This window comes from Homo sapiens, chromosome 12, assembly GCF_000001405.40.
Source record: "Homo sapiens chromosome 12, GRCh38.p14 Primary Assembly".
NCBI classification, from domain to species: Eukaryota; Metazoa; Chordata; class Mammalia; order Primates; family Hominidae; genus Homo; species Homo sapiens.
The window spans coordinates 117,336,999-117,363,733 of NC_000012.12; the positions used below are offsets into that span (position 1 = coordinate 117,336,999).

Here is a 26,735-nt window from a genome sequence, read left to right on the forward strand (position 1 = left end):
CTGTCCAGGCTGGTCTTGAACTCATGGGCTTGAGCAATCCTCCTGCCTCAGCCTCCCAAAGTATAGGGATTACAGGCATGAGCCACTGTACCCAGCTGCTTTTTACTCTTTTTTTTTTTTTTTTTTTTTTTTTTTGAGACGGAGTCTTGCTCTGTCGCCCAGGCTGGAGTGCAGTGGCGCGATCTCGGCTCACCGCAAGCTCTGCCTCCCAGGTTCACGCCATTCTCCTGCCTCAGCCTCCCGAGTAGCTGGGACTACAGACATGTGCTACCATGCCCGGCTAATTTTTTTGTATTTTTAGTAGAGATGGGGTTTCACCATGTTAGCCAGGATGGTCTCGAGCTCCTGACCTTGTGATCCGCCTGCCTTGGCCTCCCAAAGTGCTGGGATTACAGGCTTGAGCCACCGTGCCCGGCCGCGCTTTTTACTCTTTTTAATGTGACTTATAAAGCCCAACATTACACACATGGCTTGCATTATATTGCCATTGGGCAGCATGGGTCTAGAGTGTGACCGTTGTTCTTTCTGTAGCCTACCATCCCTGGATCTCCTCAAGAACCTACTGGTAACAGCCAGGCAGAAGACACTTCTTAAAGTTTTCCCTTTTAAAGAAACCAGAAAAATGACAAAGAGGGTTTGCAAATATCACGTCACCTTTTGAAACTGACCTCTGGGAATAGGCATGGTGGGGGTAGCATGGAAAGAGAGAAAATCCACCCAGAACCATATGAATAGAGAGGTCATAGTAGAATGTCCCCTGGGCTAATAGTCCAGTATCCAAAATCTTGCTTCCAAGTGTCAGTTAAAATCTAACCCAGGGCTGTCATCCCAGCACATTGGGAGGCTGAGGCAGGCAGATTGCTTGAGGCCAGGAGCTTGAAATCAGCCTGTGCAACATAGTGATATCCCATTTCTACAAAAAACACAAAAATTTGGACAGGCGCGGTGGCTCACACCTGTAATCCCAACACTTTGGGAGGCCGAGGCAGGTGGATCACTTGAGGTCAGGAGTTCAAGACCAGCCTGGCCAACATGGTGAAACCCCATATCTACTAAAAATACAAAAAAGTTAGCTGGGTGTGGTGGCAGGCACCTGTGATCCCAGCTGATCAGGAGGCTGAGGCAGGAGAATGACTTGAACCTGGGAGGCGGAGGTTGCAGTGAGGCGAGATTGCGCCACTGCACTCCAGCCTGGGCGACAGAGTGAGACTCTGTCTCAAACAAAACAAAAAAAAACAAAACAAAACAAAATAAAAATTAGGCATGGTGACACATGCCTGTAGTCCCAGCTATTCTGGAGACTGAGGTGGGAGGATCAATTGAGCCTGGGAGGTTGAGGCTACCGTGAGCCAAGATAGCACCACTGCATTCCAGCCTGGGTGACAGAACAAGACCCTGTTTCATAGGCGGGAACTGAACAATGAGAACACATGGACACAGGAAGGGGAACATCACACTCTGGGGACTGTTGTGGGGTGGGGGGAGGGATAGCATTAGGAGATATACCTAATGCTAAATGACGAGTTAATGGGTGCGGCACACCAGCATGGCACATGTATACATATGTAACTAACCTGCACATTGTGCACATGTACCCTAAAACTTAAAGTATAATAATAATAAAATTAAAAAAATCTAACTCATCTGTACAATAAATGTGTCATTAAAGACAATGAGGCAGATCTCTATCTGCAAATAAGAAATGAACTCCAAGGTATACCATTAAGGTGCAAGCAAGTCAGTTCTGTATATGTAAATGTAAAGGTTATTCTGGAGGAAACGGATATCAATGGTTTTACATGAATAATATCAAAGAAAACAAAACCCAGCCTGCCTGTGAAGTCTTGACTCTTTTCAGTTTATACACCCACAAAATATCTGATGGAGTTTCAGCCCTGTTTCCCATCTCCCTCCAATCTCATTTAAAAACAAACTCCAAGTCCTCCAAGTCTTCAAAAACAAAACAAAATACTGCCACCCCCAACACAAACAAAAGACTGAAAGCGTAAACCCAACTGCGCTCTTTTAAAAAATGCAAAACCACCAGCTTCTTTACATTTCCTGAACTGCTAATTTGCAGTCTTTCCCCAGAGAGATCACCACCCAGGAATCAAGCTGAAGTGCTTTCTCCCATGCCGGTAAGTCATGGCGGCAAACCCACAAGTCCCCACAAATCTGGGGGTTAAGTTGACATTCTTTGCCTTGGGGATCCCAAAGACACAAGCATCCTGAGTCTCCTCAGCCACGGAATTCCCCCAGTTTCATGGCTACAGTTTGCCTATGATGATGTCAATCTTCCCACCTCTGATGCCCATATCTCAGAGGTAGTAACAGGCTCAGCTTAGAGTTACAAGCACGAGCATTAATGATTGTTTAAAATGTGACACACACTCTGTTGTCAAGGCTTTGGGAAATCCCACTCTCTTACATTGCTGCCAAATACAACCTCTTTGAATGGCAGTTTGACAATATCTACCTCCAAATTTAAAATACATATATCTTGGCCTGACAATTCAAATGTCAGGACTTTCTCCTGCAGGTAACCTGAAAGGAACATCCTTAAACACATACAAAACTCTTCTTTGCAGGGTTCTGAATATCTGAATATCAAGAGATTGAGAAAATCTTAAGTACCCATCAATAGAAGACTATTAAATCAACTATGGCACATCCATACAACGGAATTCTGGGCAGGCATTAAATAAGCAGGAGATTAGAGCTAAAAAGACCAGACCAGTGAGGAATGCTCTTAAAGATACAGTGTTAAATTTAAAAGCAAGGTGGAGCACACCCATTTAGAAATATAATTATAAGTCCATCCTACAGCTTCATCATGCATTCATCCATGTTTCCACATAAGCTTGGAGATGCACTGAACAGCTCTGGAAAATTATTCAAGATATCAGTACCAGTGGTTACTTCTAGGAAAGGGGGCTGGAAGGCTAGAAATTGGGTGGGAAGGAAGCTTACTTTTTATTGTATATTCCTTCATATTAGATTGCTATTCTTTATTTATTTATTTTTGAGACAGGGTCTCGCTTTGTTGCCCAGGCTGGAGGGCAGTGGTGTAATAACAGCTAACTGCAACCTCCAAGGCCTGGGCTCAAGTTATCCTCAAGCTTTGGCCTCCTGAGTAACTGGACTACAAGCACACACCACCGTGACTGGCTAATTTTTTAACTTTTTGTAGAAACGGTGTCTCACTATGTTGCTCAGGGTGGTCTCAAACTCCCGGCCTCAAGCAATCCTTCCACCTTGACCTCCCAAAGTGCAGAGTTTATAAGCATGAACCACTGTGCCTGGACTAAATTATTATTTTTTAACAATGTTTTTTGCATCAATTTTAAGAAAAGAGTAAGGTCTTTGAAGTCAGACTGTCTGATTCTCTACTTGGCTTTGTGATCGTGGGCAAGTTACTTACTCTCTCTGAGTCATAGTTTCTGCATCTATTAAATAGGGGTGATAATAGTGCCTACATAGATAGGGTGTCTGAGGATACAAAGAGATAATAGTTAATGTTTTCTCCTTTTTTATTTATGTATTTATTTTGAGACGGAGTCTCACTCTGTCACCCAGGCTGGAGTGTGGTGGCGCAATCTCGGCTCGCTGCAACCTCTGCCTCCCAGGTTCAAGTGATTCTCCTGCCTCAGCCTCCTGAGTAGCTGGGACTACAGGCACCCGCCACCACTCCTGGCTAATTTTTGTATTTTAATTTTTAAATTTCTATTATTTTTATTCTTTTTTGAGACGTAATCTTGCTCTGTTGCCCAGGCTGAGTGCAGTGGCGTGATCTTGGCTTACTGCAACCTCTGCCTCCCAGGTTCAAGTGATCCTCCTGCCTCAGCCTCCTGAGTAGCTGATATCACACCTGGCTATTTTTTTTTTTTTTTTTTTTTTTGTATTTTTAGTAGAGATGGGGTTTCACCATGTTGGCCAGGCTGGTCTCGAACTCCTATCCTCAAGTGATCCACCTGCCTCGGCCTCCCAAAGTGCTGGGATTACAGACATGAGCCACTGTGCCCAGCCAATAGTTAACGTTTTCTATGTTATTACAATGCACCATAGACTAGGTAAGTGCCCAGGAAATGGATCCTTTTACCACCACTATTACTAATTATCATCACGTAAGCAGTCATTTTTCTATTGAGCATCCGTAGTGTCTGGTGGATGTGCTGCTTAAGGCACTTTGTGTTGAAAGACCAGGTAAAAGGTACGGACACGTGGACTGGTCCTGTCTCCCATGGGAGTCGATGACTGTCATTGGCTCCTTTTCGGAATGCTGCAAAAGCAGGATTCAGTTTGTCGGAACACGGCACATGAAAGATGCATCCAGAAGCACTGAGGCCCCAGAACTTGGTGGTGAGTCAACACCACTAGGGCGGGATGAGGAGGACGGTCTGGTTCATCACAGGGAGAGAGCTGCAGGGCTGTCATCCCGATGTTAGAATAGATCTGGGGAATCACAGAGTCTTCATTTCAGCTTCGTTTTGCAGAGCTCATTTACTTGAGCTAGTTCGGCCAACGGGAGACCAATATATCCATCCATCATATGACAGAAAATTTCAGAGTTTGGGGCTAAGGTTCTTAAGTTCCTTCTATCCATGGACGCTTCAGTGGCACAAAAGCACAAAAGTGGCACAGATGCACTTCTGCCTCCCACCCTTGCCCCTACATACCTGCCCCATTGCTGTAAATGCTGTGTGGGGGTCAAAGGCATGAATTTGGAGCTAGAAAAACCAGGGTTTGTGACCCACCTCTGCTGCCTATTAGCCTCAGATTCCTCATCTGTAAAGTGGGAACAATTCTGGTTTCTGCCTTAAAGATGGAAACCAATAAATCACATGGGATAATTTAAATGGAAGTGCATTAGAGGGGATAATTCATCTATAGCATGTGGTACTGTTGACTATTATTTTTAGAGTCACTTTAGATTACACATCAAGATAATTGAACCATTTCAGGCTAGATATGCAAACATAATCATGGCCAAGAGGACAGCCTCATTACTATAAAAAGGAAACATATTATCAGCGGTCTCGGAAACTTTTCTTAACAATCATTAAAATAAGATGGCACATATTTTCTAACCCCCATCAACATTATACTCTTTTACTTTTTTTTTCCTCCCTCCCTCTTTCTCTCCTTTGCCTCCTCTCATCTTTTCTTTTCTTTCCTTCATGCCAACCATTCATTTGCCTACTCATACATAGCTCTCCCCAGGACAGGGCAGTCAGCGTGGAGCTTGCATTGGGATTACAGGGGTGGATAAGATAGACAGCATCCCTGCCCTCAAGCTTACAACCTAGGGTGGAGGTAGTTGGAGATTAATATTAGTGATAAAAACAATGAGTAGAACAAAAGCGAAAATACAGGGTGCTAACGAGACCTTGCATAAGGGACATAACATGGTCTGGGTGGTGGTGGTCAGGGAAGGCTTCCTGGAGGAAGAGTCAGGATCCAGAGTTGGCCAGATAAGAAGGTGGATGGAGGAAGTGAGAAATGGAGGACAGAGACCAGCGTGTGAGAAGGCACTGTGGTAGGATGGAGCTGGCATTGGGGTGACAGAAGAAAGCCATGTCACGAGATAAATCTGGAGAGGTCATCAGGGGCTGGATCATCAGGTCTCTTGAAAGGCAAGTTAACAATTTTGGACTTTATTCTTAGAGCGATGGCAAGCATTGGAGGGTTTTGAGACAAGAAGTACAGTGGTCAGATTTAGATTTTATGAAGATTACTCTGGCTGCTGCTGGATGGCAAATGGGTGGGAAAAGCAAGGCTGGGTATGGGGAGCCTGGTTAGGAGGCTGCTGCAGGCCAGAGATGAGCAATGATGGTGGTTAAGGATCAGGTGGTGAAAGGGAGGAAGGAAGGAAGTGGGTCGATTTAAGAGATGTTTACAAGATTGAGTCAACAAGATTTGGTGACTAATTGGATACAGAAGCTAACGGAGAAGGAGGTGTCTGCAGTGACCTCCCAGCTCCTGGCTTCCACTAGTAGAAGGAGTGTGAAGGATTTCCTGAGAGAGGGAAACCTGAACAATGGGGTAAAAATAGGGTGAAAGGGCTGGATGCCTGTAATCCCAGCACTTTGGGAGGCTGAGGCGAGAGGATTGTTTGAGGCCAGGAGTTCAAGACCAGCCTGAGTAATATAGTAGGACCCCCATCTCTACCAAAAAAAAAAAAATTAACTACGATTGTGCCATTGCACACCAGCCTGGGTGACAGTGCAAGACTCTGTCAAAAAGAAGGAAGGAAGGAAGGAAGAGAGGGAGGGAGGGAGGAAGGAAGGAAGGAAGGAAAATGGGGGTGAAAGAAAGAATAAGAATGAATGAAATTCATTTCATAGAACTGTCTTTCATGAATAGTAATAATTTAGTTGTGGTCTAGTATATTGCAAGAATCAACATTTCCTAATAACGTCATTTCCATAATTCTGAGAATTCAGCTACAAAAAATATGCTCAATTTGGCTCAATTCCAAGCTTTGCCATTTATAAGCTATTTGATCTTGGATAAGTCATTTAACATTTTGACTCTCAATTTCCTTTTGTGAAATCGAAACAGTAATAACAACTAGTTGCCAAGACTTTCGTAATGATTAAGCAAGATGGACACCGTAAAGGGCACTTTGTAAACTGTAAATGTCAACTATAATGACAATGTTGAATGTTTATTTTTCAGGGAACATAATAACTGTTTTCTCCAAATTGCACATCAGTGTTAACTTGAGGCTCAATCAAATTTCTCCTCTCATGCCTGGCATCCTTGGGTGCTTTCTGGTGTAGGGGAGCTGAGTCAAAAGGCTGACAAAAGGTGCTCAGGGAAGAAAAAAGAAGTAAGAATAACTATTTTAAGAGAGCAGTAATAAGATTTGTTCCCTTCACTCGAAAGTTGCCTTTACATAGATCCACAACATCCATATAGGCCTGAATCAGTTACAAATGAATTTCAGTAAAGGGAAAACATGTTAAATAGAAAACATAAACTACAATGGCAGAAATAATTCCACATATGTCAGATATACCAGTAATAACAATAAATGCAATTGGGTCAAACTTGAGTAAAAGATCAAGACTCTTCAATTGTATAAAATGTATTTGCAGTTGCCCTACCTTAGTATGAATGTGTAAACTAGTACCAAGGACAGGAGGGAAAATATTCATTAAGGCAGGCCTGAGCCTAGTATACATTTGCTGGCCACATGGAGCTAAAGCACCACAGGTCTGCTTTCATCTGCACAATATAATTGACTTTCTTCTTAGAATATGTTAGCACCTAGTAAGCATGAAATAAGTATTTGGTGAATAAGCGCTCAACTATTCACACTGAGTACTTATTAGGTTGAAATATATGAAATTAACAGTTTTGCAAATGATCAACTTTTTCAATTTCGTACAGTTCAACTTAATATTTTGAGCATTTTTATATGTAAGCACTTTATTGGAAGATCTCATTTTCATTCTTGCAACACGATATGAACATGACATGACATTATAATTCCCATTTTATAGATGTTAAAATCAAGGCTCAAAGACATTAAGTCATAGGTTATGCAGCTAGTGTCAGTGGTGGGGACTCAAGTCAAGTTTGTCTGAACTCAACGTCTTTGCTTTTCTAATGTTCTAAGTACTGCTATATATTTTTAGCTCAATTCTACAATTTTAGTAATTGAAAGTTGAAAGAGATGCTAGGGATTTTCTACTCCAATTCACAATATTGATTTTATAAACCTCCTACAGGGCTCAGGGAACCCTGAAAATCCTGAAATTGTGTGCACAACTTTTGTGATACGTGCATTTATATGGGGAAAACAGGCCATGGCATTAATACAATTTTCCAAGTATTCCATTACACAATAAATAACAAGGGTAGAAGTCACTGGTTTCACATTACATTTTGGAGATGAGGAGCTACAGGCTCATAGTCAGGAAAGGACTTGCCTAAGATTCTTAGAAACAGAGTCAGAACGAAGATCAAACGCGGGCTATTATGATTAATTCTTGCTTGCTTGCTTGGTTGCTTGGTTGCTTTCTTGCTTTTTTTTTTTTTTTTTTTTGGCAGTGTCTCACTCTGTTGCCCAGGCTGGAGTGCAGTGGCACAATCTCGGCTCACTGCAACCTCCGCCTCCTGGGTTCAAGCAATTCTCCTGCCTCAGCCTCCTGAGTAGCTGGGACTATAGACGCCTGCCAGCTAATTTTTATATTTTTAGTGGAGATGGGATTTTGCCGTGTTGGCCAGGCTGGTCTCAAACCCCTGACCTCATGTGATCCGTCTGCCTCGGCCTCCCAAAGTGCTGGGATTACAGGCGTGAGCCACCGCGCCCGGCTGCAAGATGCTCTTTCTGTCTTGTTATGCTGGAACTTAACAATTTAAATTATTGCCCAACAGTCAAATATTGGCTCACCTCCCTTCCTGGTGAAATACCTCCAAAAATTATCCGCCTCCTGAGGATCGATAACAGGGTATCTGAAGATACCACTACAAGTGAGATGAGGGGACAAGGCTAACAGATTCTAGTCACTTGTCAAAGTAAATGTTTAAACAATCAATTTCATAATTAGGATAAGAAGCTTAAAATATATATTTAGTGCTGTAAGGGAACCATAGATGATAATGTACTTTTTCAAATAAAAAATCAAATAAAAATAATGATTATGGTATCAGAGACGTCTGCTACAATTCCTTCATTTACTCAGCTTTTATCAATTAACACTTAGGGCTGGGCTCAGTGGCTCATGCCTGTAATCCCAACACTTTGGGAGGTTAAGGCAGGAGGATTATTGAGCCCAGGAGGTCGAGGCTGCAGTGAGCCATTATTGTGCCACTGGACTCTAGCCTGGGTGAAAAAGCAAGACCTTGTCTCAAACAAACAAACAAAAAAACAACCACCTGTGCATAGCACAGGACTTGGCACATAATAGGTACTCAGTGAATCAGGGTCTCAATCTCTAAGTCTACAGCTATTGAATGAAGCAGCCCTGTGAGAGGTGAGAGGGAGCAGTGGGGACTGTAGAGAACTGGAGGGCCCATGCCGTGTTTGGAGAGCAGTTCCAGCCAGTGGTTGCCATGCAGAAAGCCAAGACTGGTCTCACTTCACTTCCTGAAAGCAGCTGCAGGGAGGTGATGGCATGGCCCATTACAAATGAGTGAATGAATGAGACTTCAGACACTTGGTTAACAAAACTTGGATTCAGGCCAGGTGCCGTGGCTCACGCCTGTAATCCCAGCACTTTGGGAGGCTGAGGCGAGCGGATCACCTGAGACCAGGAGTTTGAGACCAGTCTGGCCAACATGGTGAAACCCCGTCTCTACTAAAAATACAAAAATTAGCCAGGCGTGGTGGCACGTGCATGTAATCCCAGTTACTCAGGAGGCTGAGGCAGGAGAATGGCTTTAACCCGGGAGGCTGAGGTTGTAGTGAGCCACGATCACACCACTGCACTCCAGCCTGGACCACAGAGCGAGACTCTGTCTCAGAAAACAAAAACAAAAACAAAACTTGGATTCAGAAAAAGGAACGACAATGTGGGGTGGGTCTTAATGGAGTTTGCAAAACCACCAGCGATGAACATGGTCTAATGCTTTGCTACCCAAAGCGTGGTCCATGCACCAGCACCAGCAGCATCACCTGGGAGCATGTCAGCAATGCAGAATCCCAAGGCCCAGCCCAGACCTATGACTCAGGCTCTGCATTTTAGGAAGATCCCCCAGTGGATTTATGTGCACACTGGAGTTTGAGAAACACTGGTACGGTTTGCTTCTAAAGCCCCGTGTGACTTTTTGTGACCTACACAAATGGCCATTTTAAAGGAAATTTCAACTTCAACTCAAACTATCACCTGTTCTGCACAAAAAATGCTTCAGATCCAGGATATCACATTCTTCAATCAGGCTCTGGTCAGATTCTATCAAAGACAGCCCATAGGTATACAAATGAATTGCGTTTGGTTAATACAGTTAAATTTTTTCCCCCAAATTTGTTATCACCATTTAAAAACTGGAGGTTTCAGGCCGGGCATGGTGGCTCACACCTGTAATCCCAGCACTTTGGGAGGCCAAGGAAGGTGGATCACTTGAGGTCAGAAGTTGAAGACGAGCCTGGCCAAGATGGTAAAACCCTGTCTCTACTAAAAATACAAAAATTAGCTGGGTGTGGTGGTGCACACCTGTAGTCCCAGCTGCTTGGGAGTCTGAGGCAGAAGAATTGCTTGAACCTGGGAGGCGGAGGTTGCAGTGAGCCAAGATCGCGCCACTGCACTCCAGACTGGGTGAAAGAGAGTGTGACCCTGTCTCAAAACAAGGAAAAAAAAAAAAAGAAAAATAAACAAACAAACAAAAAACTGGAGGTTTCATCAAAGATAGAAATTTCTGGCTTTCTTGGAGCCATGGAAGATATGTTTACACTGGGCCTGTGTTCCTGAGCACACTCCAAACAGCTGGAGTAGGTGGTGGCGCCTCCCCCTTTAGGTGGGGCATGAGCTCTCTGGTTCCCCTGCAAAACCCTGTGGCCCCCGTCATTCATTTGTTTCTTGCAAATAAGTATTTCACTATAGGCCTTTGACTGTGGGACCCCTGCTAGTGAGTGAGTTTTAAAGGGCAACAAGGAAGGTCACCTTCAGAAGCTACTCAATGAAGGGACAGCATGCTCAGTGACTTGGGTCTTGTCCTGGGTGGTTCCAGTCGATCCAGGTGTTTGATGGGATCCCCACCTCCGCATGAGATCACAGCATCCACCCCAGCTTGTGCCCTGGGGCTGATACTCAACACTGACCTTGTTCTCCCTGGGTTAAATCTACTGAGAGTGACGCAGCACTTTGCACGATCATCTTGAAGTCTGAATCTGTTTCTTCTTTCACTTTGGGTGTGCACCAAAGCCCTTCCTGGAGTGACACCTTTCTGTCTAAATTGGGCTTTCTCTTTTGATGTCAAACCAGTCCTTGCATACTCATTCTAACAGGAGCTGAGTGGAATGCAACTTCCTTCCTCCATTCCAAGGGAAGATTCAGTCCCAGATCCCCTACATTTTTTTTTTTTTTTTTTTTTTTAGTGACTCTACCTGGGGGTTACCTGAACTGGCTTGGTCTTTATCTCGTGTTGCACCAGCACACCTGGGAAGCCCCTGGAGGACACCCTACCTCGACACTGCGGGACACATCCCCACCTGAGTCAGCTTTACTGAACAGAGCTCTGCAAATAACCCCTGAAATAAAAATCACAGAAGAGAACGGTGTCACCTTCAACAGTCTATAAGCTGATGTCGCAGAGGTTGGAAGGAAGGGTTAAAGGGGAATGTCATGGTTCAGGATCACAGGCATGGGATTCAAATCCTGATTCTGTCATTTACTGACACGTGACTCGGTCAAGGGCTTCAGCATCTTGGTGCCTCCGTTTCTTCATCTATAAAATGGCAAAAAACAATAGTCCTGAATCTACTTTGCAAGACTCTTGTGAAGATTCCATGAAGTAACGTCATGTTTCCCATGCTGCTCTTACCAACATCATATCTTTGCACCATACCTGTGTCTCACCTATGCAATTATTTATTTAATATTTTCCCTTACAATGAACTCACTTTCTATCTTAGATACTATAGCCTCATCCTAAAAGCTAATATCCACGAAATCGTCGTATAAATTTGCTAACTGCTTTTTTCTATGATCTATCAAAACAAATATTTAATGAGTAAATTTTTTAAAAAATGGCTCCTTGATCTAATCATGAAAACACATGGAACAAATTCACACAAAGTGGCACTGTAACTGACCAGTCATCTTCAAAGGTGTCAAGCCCGTGGGAGACAAGGAAAGACTGACAAACTGTCACAGATCAGAGGAGGCAGAGAGAAATCAGCGCCGAAAGCAATGTGGGATCCTGGAACCGAAACAGCACAGTAGCGGAGAAAGTGGTGCAATTCGAATAGGGTCTGTCGTTTAGTTAATATCATGCCATTGTCAATCTTCTGTTCTTGATAATTAGATTATGGTTATGTACGATATTAACATTGGGGAAACTAGGTCAGGGTATAAAGAAACTCGTTGTACCATATTGCAACTTTTCCGTGAATCTAAAATTACTTCAAAATAAAAGTTTTTCAAAAAATGAGTATCAGTAAAGTGGTTGTTCCTTTTCCCTTCTCCTCGCCCCCTGGCAACCACTAATCTGCTTTCTGCCTCCGTGGATTTGTCTATTCTGGATACTGCATATAAATGAAATCCTACAAGATGAGGCTTTTTGAGTCTGGCTTCTTTCACTCAGCATCACGCTTTTGAGGTTCATCCATGTTACAGCATAGATCAGCACTTCATTTCTTTTAGTGGCTGAGTAATATTCCATTAGATAGATGGATAAGCCACTTTTAGTTTATCCACTCGTCCATTGACAGACATCTGGGTTGTTTCCACCCTTTGGCTATCGTGAATAGTGCTATGAACACACATGGGAAAGTTTTTGTTTGAATACTTCTTTTCAATTCTTAAGAAGTACAAGGTTCCCTTGTGGGGTAATGGAGATGTTTTGGAACTAGATAGAGGCAATGATCACACAACACAAATGCTACTCTAAAATGGTTAATTTTATATTACATGAATTTTACCTCAATGAAATAAAACAATAAAAAATGGGTCCCACCAGTGGAGTATCCACCATATTTTGGAAACCTGTGCTTATACAGGCCCAGGGCTTAGCATGGTACCTAGTCTGTAGCAAGTACATGAAGAACATTGGCTGGTGTTATTATTCATTATTTTGAGACTGGGTCTTGTTGTGTTGCCCAGGCTGGAGTGCAGTGGTGTGATCATAGCTAACTGCAGTCTCGAACTCCTGGGCTCAAGGATACCCCTGCCTCAGCCTTCTGAATAGCTGGGACTACAGGCACGAGCCACCACACTTGGTTAATTTTTTATTTTTTTTGTAGAGATTGGGGTCTTGCTACATTGCTTAGGCTGGTCTTGAACTCCTGAGCTCAAGCAATCCTCCCTCCTCAACCTCCCAAAGTGCTGGGTTTACAGGTGTGAGCCACCATGCCTGGCCGGCTGGTGTTATTATTACTGCCAGAGACACACAGACTCTCAGCTCCCACTTCAGAGTTTTTTTCTACAGTATCATTGTCATTTCCACCAAGAAAGTTTCTCCAAGTTTAATCTACAACTCTCCTTGGAAGTCAGCAGTAAAATCTCAGGATTCCTGAGATGCTATCATTAGAAAACCTTGCTTTGAAATCTATGAACCTTTTGTGCTTTGATAAGACTTGCATTCCTGGCTAGCAGGGCACAGCACGCCATTGCCATGGGACGATGTGTGACGTGCTCACGGACAATGCAGAGTGGGCATTCAACAGGCACTTACTAGTTACCTGTTGACTGCACACCAAAGCTATTTCAACAGATTATTCAATGAGTCACACCTCCTCAATTAACTGGGTGCTTTATTTAGGACTCCACCCTACAATTTGCAGGCTAAGTTGCAATGCCCTGGAACTGTTCACTTGATTTTATAGTACCCACTCCCATTTTCTCAAAGTACCTTGTGTGTTTGAAATGAAAGCAAATGCCTGATTTATTTTAAGGATTTCATAAGGACCCTACAGAAAACTGAAGACACACCAGCATGTCCTGGATCCAGGAAGCAAAATGGAGACATTCCAGGATGTCCCAACTCAGGGAAACTTCTTTTTGCTCAGAGCTGATGAACTGGGATTGGTCTTACTCACCATTATTGGTGAACTCTTCCTCTTTCCCCCCATCTGTGCTAGTTGTCATCCTTTGCCCCCAGATTCATTCTCCAAACTTATCTGGGCTCCCGAAGAGGCTGACCTCTATGGACATCAAAAGGTCTCTTGGCCGGGTGCGGTGGCTCAAGCCTGTAATCCCAGCCCTTTGGGAGGCCGAGGCGGGCGGATCACGAGGTCAGGAGATGGGGACCATACTGGCTAACACGGTGAAACCCCGTCTCTACTAAAAATACAAAAAAATTAGCCGGGCCTGTTGGCGGGCGCCTGTAGTCCCAGCTACCCAGGAGGCTGATGCAGGAGAATGGCGTGAACCCGGGAGGCGGAGCTTGCAGTGAGCCGAGATCGCGCCACTGCACTCCAGCCTGGGCGACAGAGCAAGACTCCGTCTCAAAAGAAGAAGAAGAAAAAAAAAAGTCTCTTGCCCTCTGGCATCTGATTGGGTTTGGCCAATGGGATGTGGAGACAGGAGATGAGGGAGAAGCCGAGAAGCCAGGGTATTTCTTTCTCTGCTCTCTCCCTCTCTTAGTGCTGTAGTCTGGCAGGGTCTGCATTCCCTTCTGAGTATAGCTTCTACAGGGACCCTTCCCTTCGCCAGCACCCCCACTCCATTCCACCACCCAAAGGGCTTCGGTAACACTGTCGCTTCCCCCTGCTCCTTCAGGCCTGGAGTGGCAACTGCTGCCCTGGTTGCTAGTCCCTGAGTACTTAAGCACCCCTTTGTTGGTGCCTTAACCTGTGTCCATAAGCTGCTCCTTAATTAAATTACTTGGAAATCCCAGCTGCAGGTGCCTTCTGTTTCCTGCTTAGACCCTGACTGACAAATCTTCACCTCCATTGCCCCTTGGGAGGAGGGATGAGGAATATCAGAAGGAACCTGGATAGTCAAGGGCATGACATGTCTAAGCCAAGTCATCCTAATCACCAACCTCAACCTTGCCAAGAAACTGATGGAGTAGCTGCATGTGCCAAGCATTTAATGGTCTCAATAATGCAGTGAAGTAGAATTATTCCTGTGTTTACAGAAGAGGAAAATGAGATTTACAGAGAGATTAAATAACTTGCCAAGGTTACAGAGTGAATAAATGGCAGTGGTTGGATTTGAACCCAGCTTTGATGGGCTTCAGAATCCTGCCTCTTCTCCATCATCCAGAGGGGTCTAAAGTGTTCAAGAACCTGCTGAGCATGGTGGCTTACGCCTGTAATCCCAGCATTTTGGGAGGCCCAGGTGGGTGGAATGCTTGAGCCCAGGAACTTGAAACCACCTTGGGCAACATGGTGAGACCCCGTCGCTACAAAAAATTAGCCAGGTGTGGTGGTGCACACCTGTAGTCCCAGCTACTCAGGAGGCTGAGGTGGGAGGATCACCTGAGCCAGGAAAGTTGAGGTTGCAGTGAGCCATCATCACGCCACTGCACTCCAGCCTGGGTGACAGAGTAAGACGCTGTCTCAGAAATACATACATACATACATACATACATACATACATACATGCATACATAATACAGTGTTCAAGAGCCGATGTCATGGCACTGAACACTCTGGAGGCAAGAGGCGTGGGCCTGGGGGAAAGCTTGCTATCACTGAGAAGGAGGTCAGAGCTTCAGTTCTGCACAACCCTCTCAAGCTCAAGTGCATTCAGGCACGCCTGGGCTATACCGCCAGCCACGGAAAAACCAACTTTGGAAGCTATTCCAGGAACAAACCTCAAGCTCATTTCTCAGTCCCTCAAGAGGCCCTGAGCCTGTTCTGTTGCTGACAGAGGGAACTGTCGCCTGCTCACTGCTCAATGCCCCTGATGTAATGAGCACCGCCAAAGAGGGCTCGATTGGGATGCTAAACAGCCGTAAATGACATTGTCACCAGCCTTCATAAAGCATGGTGACTCACAGCCCTAATTAAAATGCTGAGGGAAAAATGTAAAGAGAAACTGCCATGAAAAACAGTGACATTCTGCTAAACTGCAGGATTATTTCTTCCAGGAAAAAAGAGGGAGAGAGAGAGAGATGTGTGTGTTCATGAGTGTGCGTATATGCATGTGCACATGTATTCGTGTGTGGGAGGTGAGGGGATAGAAACGAGAAGGCTAAATATTATTCTCCAAAGAAACTTGGAAAAATTTAACATGGAGGAAAGTTGAAAGCCATTCTTGCCTCCCAACTTTATGATAAAGTATTTAAACAGAAAATGTAAAAGAATGGTGTAAAAACACCCATAAACTTTCAACTTAATTCAACAGCTATTAGCATTTTCATATCTACCTACTTGTCTTTCTCTATCAGTCATCTATCTATCCATCCATCCATCCATCTATCCATCCATCCATCCATCCACCCACCTACCTACCTATCTACCTACTTACCTATCTACCTACCTAGCTATCTATCCATCCATCCATTCATGTACCTATCTATCTACCTACCTATATACCTATCATCTGTCTATCCATCTATCTACCTACCAATCTATCTACCTACCTATCATCTGTTATCTATCTATTCATCTATCTATCTACCCATCTATCAATCATCTATCTACCTACCTATTCTATCCTCTAGCTATTATCTATCTATCTGTCTATCTATCATCTATCTACCTACCTACCTCTCCATCTATTATCTACCTACCTACTTACCTATCTTCACAATGAACCATTTTAGAACAAGTTGCAGAATCATGATGTCTCAGCTCTAAATTCTTAAGCACACTTATCTTCAGCGTAGAGACAGACTCCCACAAAACCCACAGTACCATTATTACACCTAAGAAAATTAACTATATACTGTACTTGCACAACTTCCCCAAATACTCAGTTAAGGTTGTTTTCTAAACAATGACAATTCAAGTCATAAGTCTCATCCCTGTTGGTTAGGAGAGAGAAGCAGACAAGCTGTTTCCCAGAAATAGGTGTCAAGGGTTCTTGCGAAGGAAGGGTTTTAGCATCATGTAGGCTGGTTCCCATCATCAGAGTCACAAGATGAAGTACATGGGGCACAATGCTTGACTTAGATGTCAGTTTTGAACCAGATAGGGAATCCTGATCACACCATATTGTTTTTTTAAAATAGCCCTCCTCTAAACGAAAACTAAATCTCCACATTTTGGGCTGGGCTCAGGCCTGTAATCCCAGCACTTTGGGACGCTGAGGCAGGAGGATCATTTGAGCCCAGGAGTTCAAGACCAGCCTGGGCAACATGGTGAGAATCCACCTCTACAAAAGCAAAACAAAACAACAATGAAAAAACCAATGAAACAAACAAACAAAAACCAAATCTCTGCATTTCATCCAAGGTCATCACCCATTTTAGCCAAAAAAATATGTGGCTCTCAATGACTTCTTGCTGTTTCTGAAATTCAACTGCATCCTCAAAAGCCCAATAAGATATCACTAGTAGGGAGATTCAGAAAGAGATATCATGCTTTCTGAAGGCAAGTCTTGAAGAAGGGACCCTCAAGAAATCCTACACCTTGCCGGCAGCTGGAAGCGAAAATATTTATCTACGTATATGAGTTTGGCATGTTTGTTACAAAAATCATCAAAATCAATAAAAATATCAAGCCAAGAAACCCACCCAGTCCCATTATTTTATACCATGCTTTGGGAGAAAGAAAGAGATTCCATTTCAGTGACTACCATGATATTAGAAGCAAAATGATAACTGAAGGTATTGCCAGCTAAGACTTATAACAAACAAGCACATCGATGCTATTGACTGTGTTCATTACCTGTTTTCTGGCACATGAACATAACTGGCTTTCATTTTTCTTACTGAGTATTCCAGAGCTGAGATACTGCTTCAAAAAAATTAAAGAGAAAAATATGCCCAAAATATGTCAGTTGCTATCGAGTACTATTCTGATTTATCCCCGGAGGTTACTTTTTTTTTATGCTGAAAATTCCTGGAAATGACATAGAGCCCAATGTGATCCATGTGGCTGTTTTAGTGACTAAATAGGATGGACTGCCCACATCATTTACCTCACTACATCTAGTTATTGGTGAGTGGATGCCTGTTTTGGACACCATGAGCTACCTTGAGGGTAGGGACTCTGTCTTCCCTTTCTTTATGAGGAAGCCTCTCTTGTGGGGACTGGCACAGAGCTGGGAGCTCAGGTTGTGTTTGTTAAATGAAGAAGTGGTTAACTTCACTCTCGTTTATGACAAGAAATGCTTTAGCTGGGAAACGACGGTTGTACACGGATACTATCTGAAGTTGCGTAAGCTTTTTGAATTCACAATATTCCTTCTTCATTTCCAACTGGAAATGGGTTTCAGAAAGGCTCACCTTTTTAATCCTCATGGTAGCAAAATTTAGCTGTCAGGTTTTGAATAAAGAAGAGATTCTCGAGTATTATTTAATGCCAGTGGGCAAATGTTCCCAGCAGAAGCTGAAATGCTTTTCAGGGCACCTCTGAAAATCTGTAGGCTCCCAAAGCATCTTGGATGGTCAAAAAGAAAAGGCTCATCATTCCCAGGAAATCCCAGTCTTAGTAGGTAACAGGACATACAAATAAGAGGTGGGAAATGCCCAGGCTGGAAATGGGAACTTTGCCCCTTGCAAAGGACTTCTGTATTTTCCACCTGAATAGGGCCACCTTTCTCTTAGGAAATGTCAGCAGAAATCATAAATGCAATTGATGGATGATAATTGGGCCAATGTTGCTCTCAGGTAAGGCAGAAGATGTTAAAGCTGAAAAGGTCTTTGTGGGAAGTGCGTCCTGGGGTTGTAAACTAAAATGCCTCGAAGGGCCCGGACAAGCAAATTAAACAATATTGAATGGTGAGGCTGGTGACCTAAAGGAAAAAAAATACTCTCCAAACAAAACCCAACAAAACAATGCCCCCAATCCAAACAAACAGAGAACAAAAAAAAGCCCTCTGCCAGACTAACAGAACATATCTGCAGGTCTCTGAAGGGAGATGCCCTTTAGTTCCAACTCCATTTCACAGATAAGAAAACAGAGGCTGAGCAAGAGAAAGGGGCTCAGACTACACCAACTGGCTAACTCTTTTTTATTTAAAAAAATTAATTAATGAATTAATTTATGTATTTTCGAGACAGGTTCTGGCTCTGTTACCCAGGATGGAGTGCAGCGGCACAATCTCGGCTCACTGCAACCTCCGCATCCTGGGCTCAAGCTATCCTCCCACCTCAGCCTGCTGAGCAGCTGGGACCACAGGTGCACGCCACCACACCTGGCTAATTTTTTTGTAGAGATGGAGTCTCACTCTGTTTCCCAGGCTGGGCTCAAACGCTGAGCTCAAACAATCCTCCTGCCTCAGTCTCCCAAAGTGTTGGGATTACAGGCGTGAGCCACTGTGTCTGGCTGGCTCTTTTTAAAATTTCTTTTCTTTGTTATGATCACTGAGATGGGCTGGATGCTGTTTCCTTTCCAGAGTTAAACACACACACTATCCCATTAAATCCTCCTAACAACTCCCTGTAGTACTTATAATCTCTGCTGTATGAATGACATGCTGGAGAGTCAGAGATGTTAATTCTCTCACTCTGAGTCACAGAATCCACAAGTGCCCAAGCTGGCCTCTGACGTTTCCTAAGATGATTCTCAGTGTGAGGCCCTCCCTTTCAACCTGGCTGCTGCTGGCCCAGTTTGGCACTGGGGACCCCAACCCTGAGAGGGTGCCACAAATCAGGCTATGGGCTTTGATGCTACCTCCTCTGAGAAGTCCTCCCTGATTCCTTCAACCACCTGTCCTGGGTCCTACCACAGCACCTCACCTCCACCTCTCTTGCAGAAACTTCACGCCAGGTACAGGGTTTGTCTGGTGCTCACCGCTTAGCCAGACTACAGGTTTCATTAGAATGGGGCTCACACCACCTTTATCTGGGCACCTGCCCTTGGGGTCTAGCACTGGCCTTGCCATTTAACACGTGTCATGACACATACAATAAATGTGCTGACGTCTGCTGCCGAACAGCCCACGATAACTGCTGTTCATCCTTAGCATCATACGACTGTGCCAAGACCCATGTCCACTATACCCTGTTAACCATACTTGAATTAGAGACTTAGGGGCACTTTCTGTTGACACGTCATTTTCATTTAAAAGATTCGAATGGGCTCAATTTTCCAGCATTGCCAGGTGCTGCTCATCATTCTTCCACCTTAAGAATGGGCATGTGAGCAACATAAACACACTTGCAAAGGCTGAGTGGAAGGCCGATGGGCTGTGGAAATGAACTCAAACCAATGGCTTTGGTGAAATCAGTGGTAGTTAAACTGGGTTTATTAGCTCTGTGATTACTTCTTTGCAGAAGTTATACCTGATAGGTCACTTATAAAAGGAATTTTTCTAGGCCTGGCGTGGTGGCTCACACCTGCAATCCCAGGACTTAAGGAGGCCAAGGCAGGCAGATGGCTTGAGCCCAGGAGTTTGAGTCTGGCCTGGGCAGCATGACAAAACCCCGTCTCTACAAAAAATACAAAAATTAGCCTGGTGTGGTGGCACAGGCCTGTAGTCCCAGCTACTCGGGAGGCTGAGGAGAGATGATCATTTGAGCCCAGGAGGTCGAAGCCCCTTCCCTCTGAAAGGGAGAGATCAAATAGTGGGGCTAATGTCCAAGATTAGATGGGAACTCAGGGCTGACACCCAGCAAGGTCAAGGTGGGAGGAATTATTTTCAGTCTCCTCTGAGCAGTTGGTCTAATTTAGAATAACAACCAGAAAGATGAAATTAAATTTCTTTAAAGTCCGGCATTTACGGGGCTTGTACTGAAGGAAACATGAAGTTATCATCGATGAGGATTGGACAATAAGTCAAGACACTGAGGTTCTATCCCAGCTTTGGCAGTAATGTGCTGTGTGACTTTCATCGAGTCACATGCCTCTTCTGGGCCTCAGTTTCCCAATTTGTACAACGAGGGTGACAGACAAGAACTGAGAGTATTAGAATCTCCTGGAGCAACCTTGTTAAAAATAGAGATATTTCCAGTCTCCCCCAGGAATGCTGATTCGGTAGATTTAGGGTGGGGTCTGGCATCTTTGCTTTTAACCAGGGACTTGCTGTATTCTGACACTAAAGGTCCACTGGGCTGATGTTTGGCGTTCGCTGGATTAGATGATGTTTAAATGTTATCATATATTAGAACGAGGAAAATGGTCATGTCTGTAACCTATGTGGTGTTAACTACACAAACCCACACTGATCCATGGCAGGAAACATGCCCCTCTGTTCAAACAATCCAGATTAAAATGGGTCCTGAAATGCCAAATTCAACTTCCACAAATTCCAGTTTCTAATGGGAAAAAGCCCCAGTTCTCACGAGCACGGATTGTTGCCTGTGGCTCTTAACCACATTCCAAGCCCCGCACAGACCCACAGAACCTGAGTGACAGGCAACACATGAAGTCTTGTCATAAGACACCCCAAAACATCTGCAGATTGTGAGCGCAACAGGCACAGCCAAACCTGTCTGTGCTCACAATATGCAGGCGAATTGACCTCCAAATCTTCCTGCCTCCTGGGAAATCAGCGGCCCCCCAGTGGGGAAGTTTCTGGACAACTGACTGAATGGTACCTCGGACAACTCTTTGCATCTTACTCACAGAGACCCACTGGGAGCAGCCTAACCCATCACAATACCCCCGCCCTCTCACTCTTCTCCGTGCGGTCCTTCCCCAAGGAAGATGGAGGCTCCTGGGGACTGGCTTTGGCCATTTGGGAAATATAAAGAGGAGACAGAAAGGGCAAAAAGCGGGCTGCTCTGAAAGCCACGATGACACTATTGGCCCCAAATGGCTCCATGGGACACTCTTCCCTCTGTTTCGGGTTCCCTTCCTTCCTTACAATCACCAGTCTTGGCATACCAGCATTGTTTCCAGAACCCCTTTCACATACATCATCACAGAGTCTTCAAAACAGCCCCGTGTGGGAGTTACTGTTCTCATTTTACAGATAACAGAACTGAAGCTCAGAAAGGTTAAGTGATCAACCTGAGGTCACACAGCCATGGAGTGAGCTAAGCTTGGCCTCAAGCTGAGGTCTTCACCAGGTCTCTCTACCACACTGCTCACTCTTTCTCTACATGATTTGGGACTTTGGGGAAAAAAATCACACAATTTGTGGAGACAAAGCCATGCCCCTGACCATAGCGTTGGCCTCTGGCTGAACAGATGTATCAGGAAATACAGCTGTGTGTGCTAAGGTTCAGGCACATGCCAGACTGCGTAGATGCCCAGATGCATGCAAAATGCCCCAATTAAGAAGCCGAAAATTGGGGTTGAGGTCTCGGGTAGTGCCACTTACCAGCTAGGTGACTATGGCTAGGTAGTTTGGTTTGCCCCACCTCAATTTCCGCAGCTGCAAAATGGAATTCAGATGGCTGCACTGGCAACCTGAAAGTTAAGAGGCTCCAGGTGAATAATACGTGTGACAGTGCCTTGGAGCTGTCAGTGGCAGAGCCGTGCGCCCCTCAGGGCGCTTCTGAAATCCAGACTAGTGGAAAGGGGCCGGGGCCCGCCGTGGCGGTGCTGGTGGGGCGGACACCCCCTCCTTCAGGGACCTGCCGAGGCTTCTCAAACCATCCGCTGAGATGCCTTGAGGGCGGAGAATGGACGCGACCCCTGCGCACTTGGGGAGCTGCCACAAGAGCCCTTTTCCTATTTTATCTTCAGTTCTGAAAAAATAACGGGGGAAAAAATCTATGCTCCAGAGAGCTGCGTCAGTGTTCCCTGGTGTTTACGAATTTCTTGCGTTTGCCCCGACCCCAATTAGAGAAGCACTAAAGAAAGGCAGCAATTTTCCCTCATTCCTCTCGGGAGGAGAGGTCTGGGGTCTCCTTTCTGCTGTCTCCCAATGTCGTGGGCCGCCAGAGGTGAGATGAGGCGCCTATGGGCGCGCTCGCCTGCACCGCACCCTTGCCTAGCGGCGTCCCTGGGGACCCTCCCTCCGTGGTGGCTGCGTGCGCGCTTTTCTTAGGCCTGAGCGCAGGGTTTGAGCTGGGCTATGGGAGTAGAGGGAAGAATCCCATGCGTCTTTCCCAGGATTACTGGGGTAGAGATGGAGGCGAGAGCAATCTTCCGCAGCCTGTAGTACCCTGTGGGGTAGACCCCCCGGTTCCTACTGGTGGGGAAACCCTAGACCTGCGTGCGAGTCTCCCAGATCCGGTCCCAGAGCATTACAATAATGGTTTTATATATATATATATATATATATATATATATATATATATATATATATATATATATATATCAGCAACACTTCCTGCGTTATGAACGCTTACCCTGACTTCATATTCACATTTATGATTTTTTAAGGTCCTCATGACAGCCCCACGAAAAAGGTAGTTTCTCCATTTTACAGATGAGAAACTGAGGCTGGGAAAGATGAAGAGACTTACCGAAGGTCACGCAACAAGTAAAGGGTCGATCTAGGACCAGAACCCAGGGGAGTCACTGGAAAGGTTCCTGCCCTCCTCGGCTGCCTTCTCCGTGAGAGCCTCTCCTCTCTAGATGTCTACCCCAGACAGCCTGATGCGGAGCTTGGAGAGCCATGAGCTCTCTGGTCACAGTGCCCTGGGGGTGGGGGCGAGCGTCTGGCGTCCTCTGGGGCGCAGTCCCGAGAGAGCCCCTTCCGGGACCTCGGACGCAAGGCCCCTGAGTGGCCCTGGAAGTTGGATCCCCCGGGGACCCTGCTCCGAACCCTGGCCACCTGGAAGCAACCTCATCGAGCGCTCCTTCCACTGCCCAGCCCCGAACCGTGGCGGAACGCGCCCCTCGGCCTCCCTAGAGCCTCCTTTGCGGGAGAAGCACAACTTTCCCAGGTTTTGGAGACGGCGCTCTTACACCCCAATCTCGCCCAGACGGAAGAAGTGAGAGGTGCGGGCGGCCCCGCCATGACCGCGGGAGGAGAGCGCAAGGAGGCTCCTCGCAAAGTTGGAGGCCAGGCCGGAGCGATGTTCCGGGAGCGGAGCCCTCCCAGCCTCGGGCCCCCAGCCGCGGACAGCTGGCAGTGCCAAAGACTCCGCCATTACCTGCGGCTCGCAGTTGCGATTCGGCCGCAGAGTCGGGCACCGAGGAAGGCGTAAAGTTGAGCTTGGGCAGGTACAACGGTCCCCAGGGACTGGCATCCCCCAGCCCGGGCTGCCCGCGGGAGGGTAGCGAGCTGTGCCAAGGGCTCCGCCATTACCGCCAGCGCACAGCTCGGAGCCAAGCGCGCGGCTGAGGAACGACTAGGGTCTTGCAAAGTTGGAGCCTGGGCGCGTAGACCCCCGGACCGGAGCCCCCGGCCTGAGGCCGCCCGCTAGGAGGAAAATGAGGCCGCCCGAACCAAGTTGGGACGCGCAGCAAAGCCCGAGCCTTCCGCGCACACCAGGGGCTCGGGCGGGAGCGGGGAGCCCTGGGGACGGAGAAGGGGCGCGGGACGCCTGGATCAGGAACTCACCTGACGCCGAGCCGGGCAGCGCCGAGGCTGCCTCTTCGCGCTGCGCACCCGCCCGCCCGCCTCGTACTCCTCCTCTTCCTCCCGGGCGCCCGCGGCCGCCGCGCTCCGGGTTCTGAATCCTCCGAGTCCGCCGCCCCGCGCGGCTGGAGGGCGCCGGTTGCACCCACTCGCCTCCTGGTAGGAGCCGCGCGCGTCCCTCCCCTTCCCCTCCGCTTTGTGCCTCCAAGATCCCTCCCCACCCCCTCTCCCCTAGCCCCCACTCCTCCCTTCTCTTCTTCCCTCCCCTTGCGTCCCCTCCCTCAGCCTCAGCGAACCCAAGTTCGGGACGGAGGCTGCGGGCTTCCCCGGCGCAGTGCTGGGCGCCCCGCGCGCGCCCCTGGCTCACCCCGTCCGCTCGGCCGCTGCTCGCTGCCCGGCCGCCCCTCGGAGGAGCCGCGGCGCTAAGTAGCTCCTCACCCAGCGGCTGGAAACGCGGCATAAATATGTAGGGACTGAGCCGTGAGCTCAGCGAGGGTCGTGAGGGGGAATTTATTTCTTAATGTCCCTCCTTTATCCTATCATCACTGAAACGAATTAGCAGTGACGTCCAACCCGACTGGTTTATGGGTGTGGGGAGGGAGACGTCGCAACCCTCATTAAAAGAGCCGCTCTGGGCTCCAAAGCATACATCTTTTATATAACCTAATTTCCATTTTTTTTTTTCTATCAGGAAACACACACACACACACACACACACACATACACACACACACACACACACACACACACACACAATGACAATTTCTGGGAGCCTGGATAGGGCTGAATGTAGTAGCCACGCAGGGCAGGGCAGGTCTATTTGGGCAGAGAAGGCCCCATGGGAGGCAGGGATGGTTATTTCTGCCTCTACATCAGTGTTGGGATAGCATTCCTTAATGGGACAGTGGAACACACAGCCTCCCAGGCTGGGCAGTGCTGGGAGCCCCTCCCAGGAGCCCGCAGAGGTTGCAGCCTGGGTTCTGGCCTTGGCTCTCGGGTGGACAGACGGAGAAAAGCAGCCTGTTCAGGAAATGTTGCCTGGTTCTGGTCTTTTCTGGAGCCACACTCAGGCCTGGCATCTGGGGAGAGTGAAGGATGGAGGGCACATGTTCATCTGTGGCCTGGGAGCCCCACAGGTGTGGAGAGGCCAAGGTCTGGGCTGGAGGAGGGAAGACACAGAGAACGCAGCTTCCCTTCCTTTCTTAGGGGCCCTAACATATGGGTAACCATATAAACCCGACTCAAAATCTGTCTTTTCCTGGGCAGATTGCAAAGGATTTTGCATCTCCCCGTTGCTGTTGCTGCTGCTCACACAGTCTTGGGAAAACGGGGGAAAATCAAGGAAAGAGAGGACACACACACGCGCACGCGCACACGCGCACATACACACACACAAACACACACACACACACACTTGGCACCTGGCTCTGGGTGATTTGATCTTTTCCTCCTCCCCAGCCTTGCCAAGCGGAGCAAACCCACTCAGGCTTCGAGTTGCGCAGAGAAGAGGCAAAGAGGAAAACCACCACCCCCTTTGTCACTAATAAATGCTTTTCAGATCGTCTTGCACATCCAGCAGGGGAGGGGGTGTGTGACTTTGGGGGCAGGAAGAAGGGTGTGGGGGATGAGGAGGGGAGGAAGGAATAAAGAATAAGCTGACGAGGGTGCCTGGAGGTCTATGCTGTCTTCCACATGCTGGAAGGAGGCCTGGAGAAATGCCACCAGCCCCAGGGCTCTGCCACTTCCTGGCTGCCACAAGGGCAAGTTTCAGAGCCTGTTTCCTGAGCCATGGATGGGCCTGGGGATGTCGTGAGGATATACACAATGAGATGATGCTGGTGAAGCCCTTGACATGGTGCTAGACATATAGTAAATGCTCAGGAAACAGTTGCCAACAATAATGGTGATTTTGATGATGATGAGAATAATCCAGCATACAGGCTGGATGGGGGGTGGGTCCCAGAAAATTGAGGCTGGAGCTGAGTCCTTGCAGTCTGGTCCCCTCCTGTTTTGGGTCCAGCGTCCCTTGCCCGAACCATTTCAAAGTTGAGCGCTGGGTTTCAGTGGTGTCATTCTCAGAACACTGCTCCCTCAATTACCATGGCAACTGGGGAAAATCAGGAAGCTAGGGGAAGGGAAGCTGCTCTTCCACTGGGCTGGCGGTTCACCTGCTCAAAACAGAGTCCACGTCTGCCTATGTGTGGGTCAAGGCCAAAAGAAGCTCAGAGTAGGGGCACTTCCTCTCTGGGAGCACAAGCTTTTTTGAAATTGGGGAGAAGGGTGGTTGGGAGGGGATGCACGGCCACGAGATGGTGGAGATAGTGGGGTCGGGCCAAGGCTGGCTGTGCCTGCAGAAGGCAGAGTTGGCTTGGGTTTGGGGAGAGGGGGACAGAAACCCCACTCCCCTCAGTTCTCTCCTCACTTCCAGGTGCCCTGGTGCGATTAAAAGCAAAGCCTTAGAATGTAGCTCTTGAGACAGAGATCTGGGAAGACAGAGCCTCAGAGCCCACGGGTGGAGCCAGGGACCATGAGGTGCCCTCTGTGTGTGTGTGTAGATGAGAGACGAAGACAGACAGACAGACACACACA

At 46.8% G+C, this 26,735-nt stretch overlaps 1 protein-coding gene across 2 annotated transcripts in view, besides 8 other annotated features; it reads right to left on the minus strand.

Annotated features, from left to right (window-relative positions):
- The window catches only part of NOS1 (nitric oxide synthase 1), a 153,485-nt gene extending 128,857 nt beyond the window's left edge, over window positions 1-24,628 (minus strand). For both annotated transcript variants that reach the window (NM_000620.5, NM_001204218.2), the window contains exon 1: window positions 24,514-24,628. The gene's annotated coding sequence lies outside the window, so the exon portion shown is untranslated. The remainder of the gene's footprint in view (window positions 1-24,513) is intronic.
- Window positions 24,129-24,289: a promoter, noted in NCBI's record as "5'1 promoter fragment +1 to +161". NCBI's record gives the evidence for it as "EXISTENCE:reporter gene assay evidence [ECO:0000049][PMID:7532307, PMID:8562455]".
- Window positions 24,129-26,406: a promoter, noted in NCBI's record as "2.3L promoter fragment". NCBI's record gives the evidence for it as "EXISTENCE:reporter gene assay evidence [ECO:0000049][PMID:7532307, PMID:8562455]".
- Window positions 24,514-24,586: a promoter, noted in NCBI's record as "5'2 promoter fragment +1 to +73". NCBI's record gives the evidence for it as "EXISTENCE:reporter gene assay evidence [ECO:0000049][PMID:7532307, PMID:8562455]".
- Window positions 24,753-25,674: a promoter, noted in NCBI's record as "-897 to +27 promoter". NCBI's record gives the evidence for it as "EXISTENCE:reporter gene assay evidence [ECO:0000049][PMID:17250678]".
- Window positions 24,799-24,807: a TATA box. NCBI's record gives the evidence for it as "COORDINATES:motif similarity evidence [ECO:0000028][PMID:17250678]".
- Window positions 24,841-24,901: a repeat region, noted in NCBI's record as "1f VNTR".
- Window positions 25,652-25,674: a protein binding site, noted in NCBI's record as "NF-kB site". NCBI's record gives its function as "positive regulation of promoter activity" and the evidence as "EXISTENCE:protein binding evidence [ECO:0000024][PMID:17250678]".
- Window positions 26,327-26,350: a protein binding site, noted in NCBI's record as "HRE". NCBI's record gives the evidence for it as "EXISTENCE:protein binding evidence [ECO:0000024][PMID:26458913]".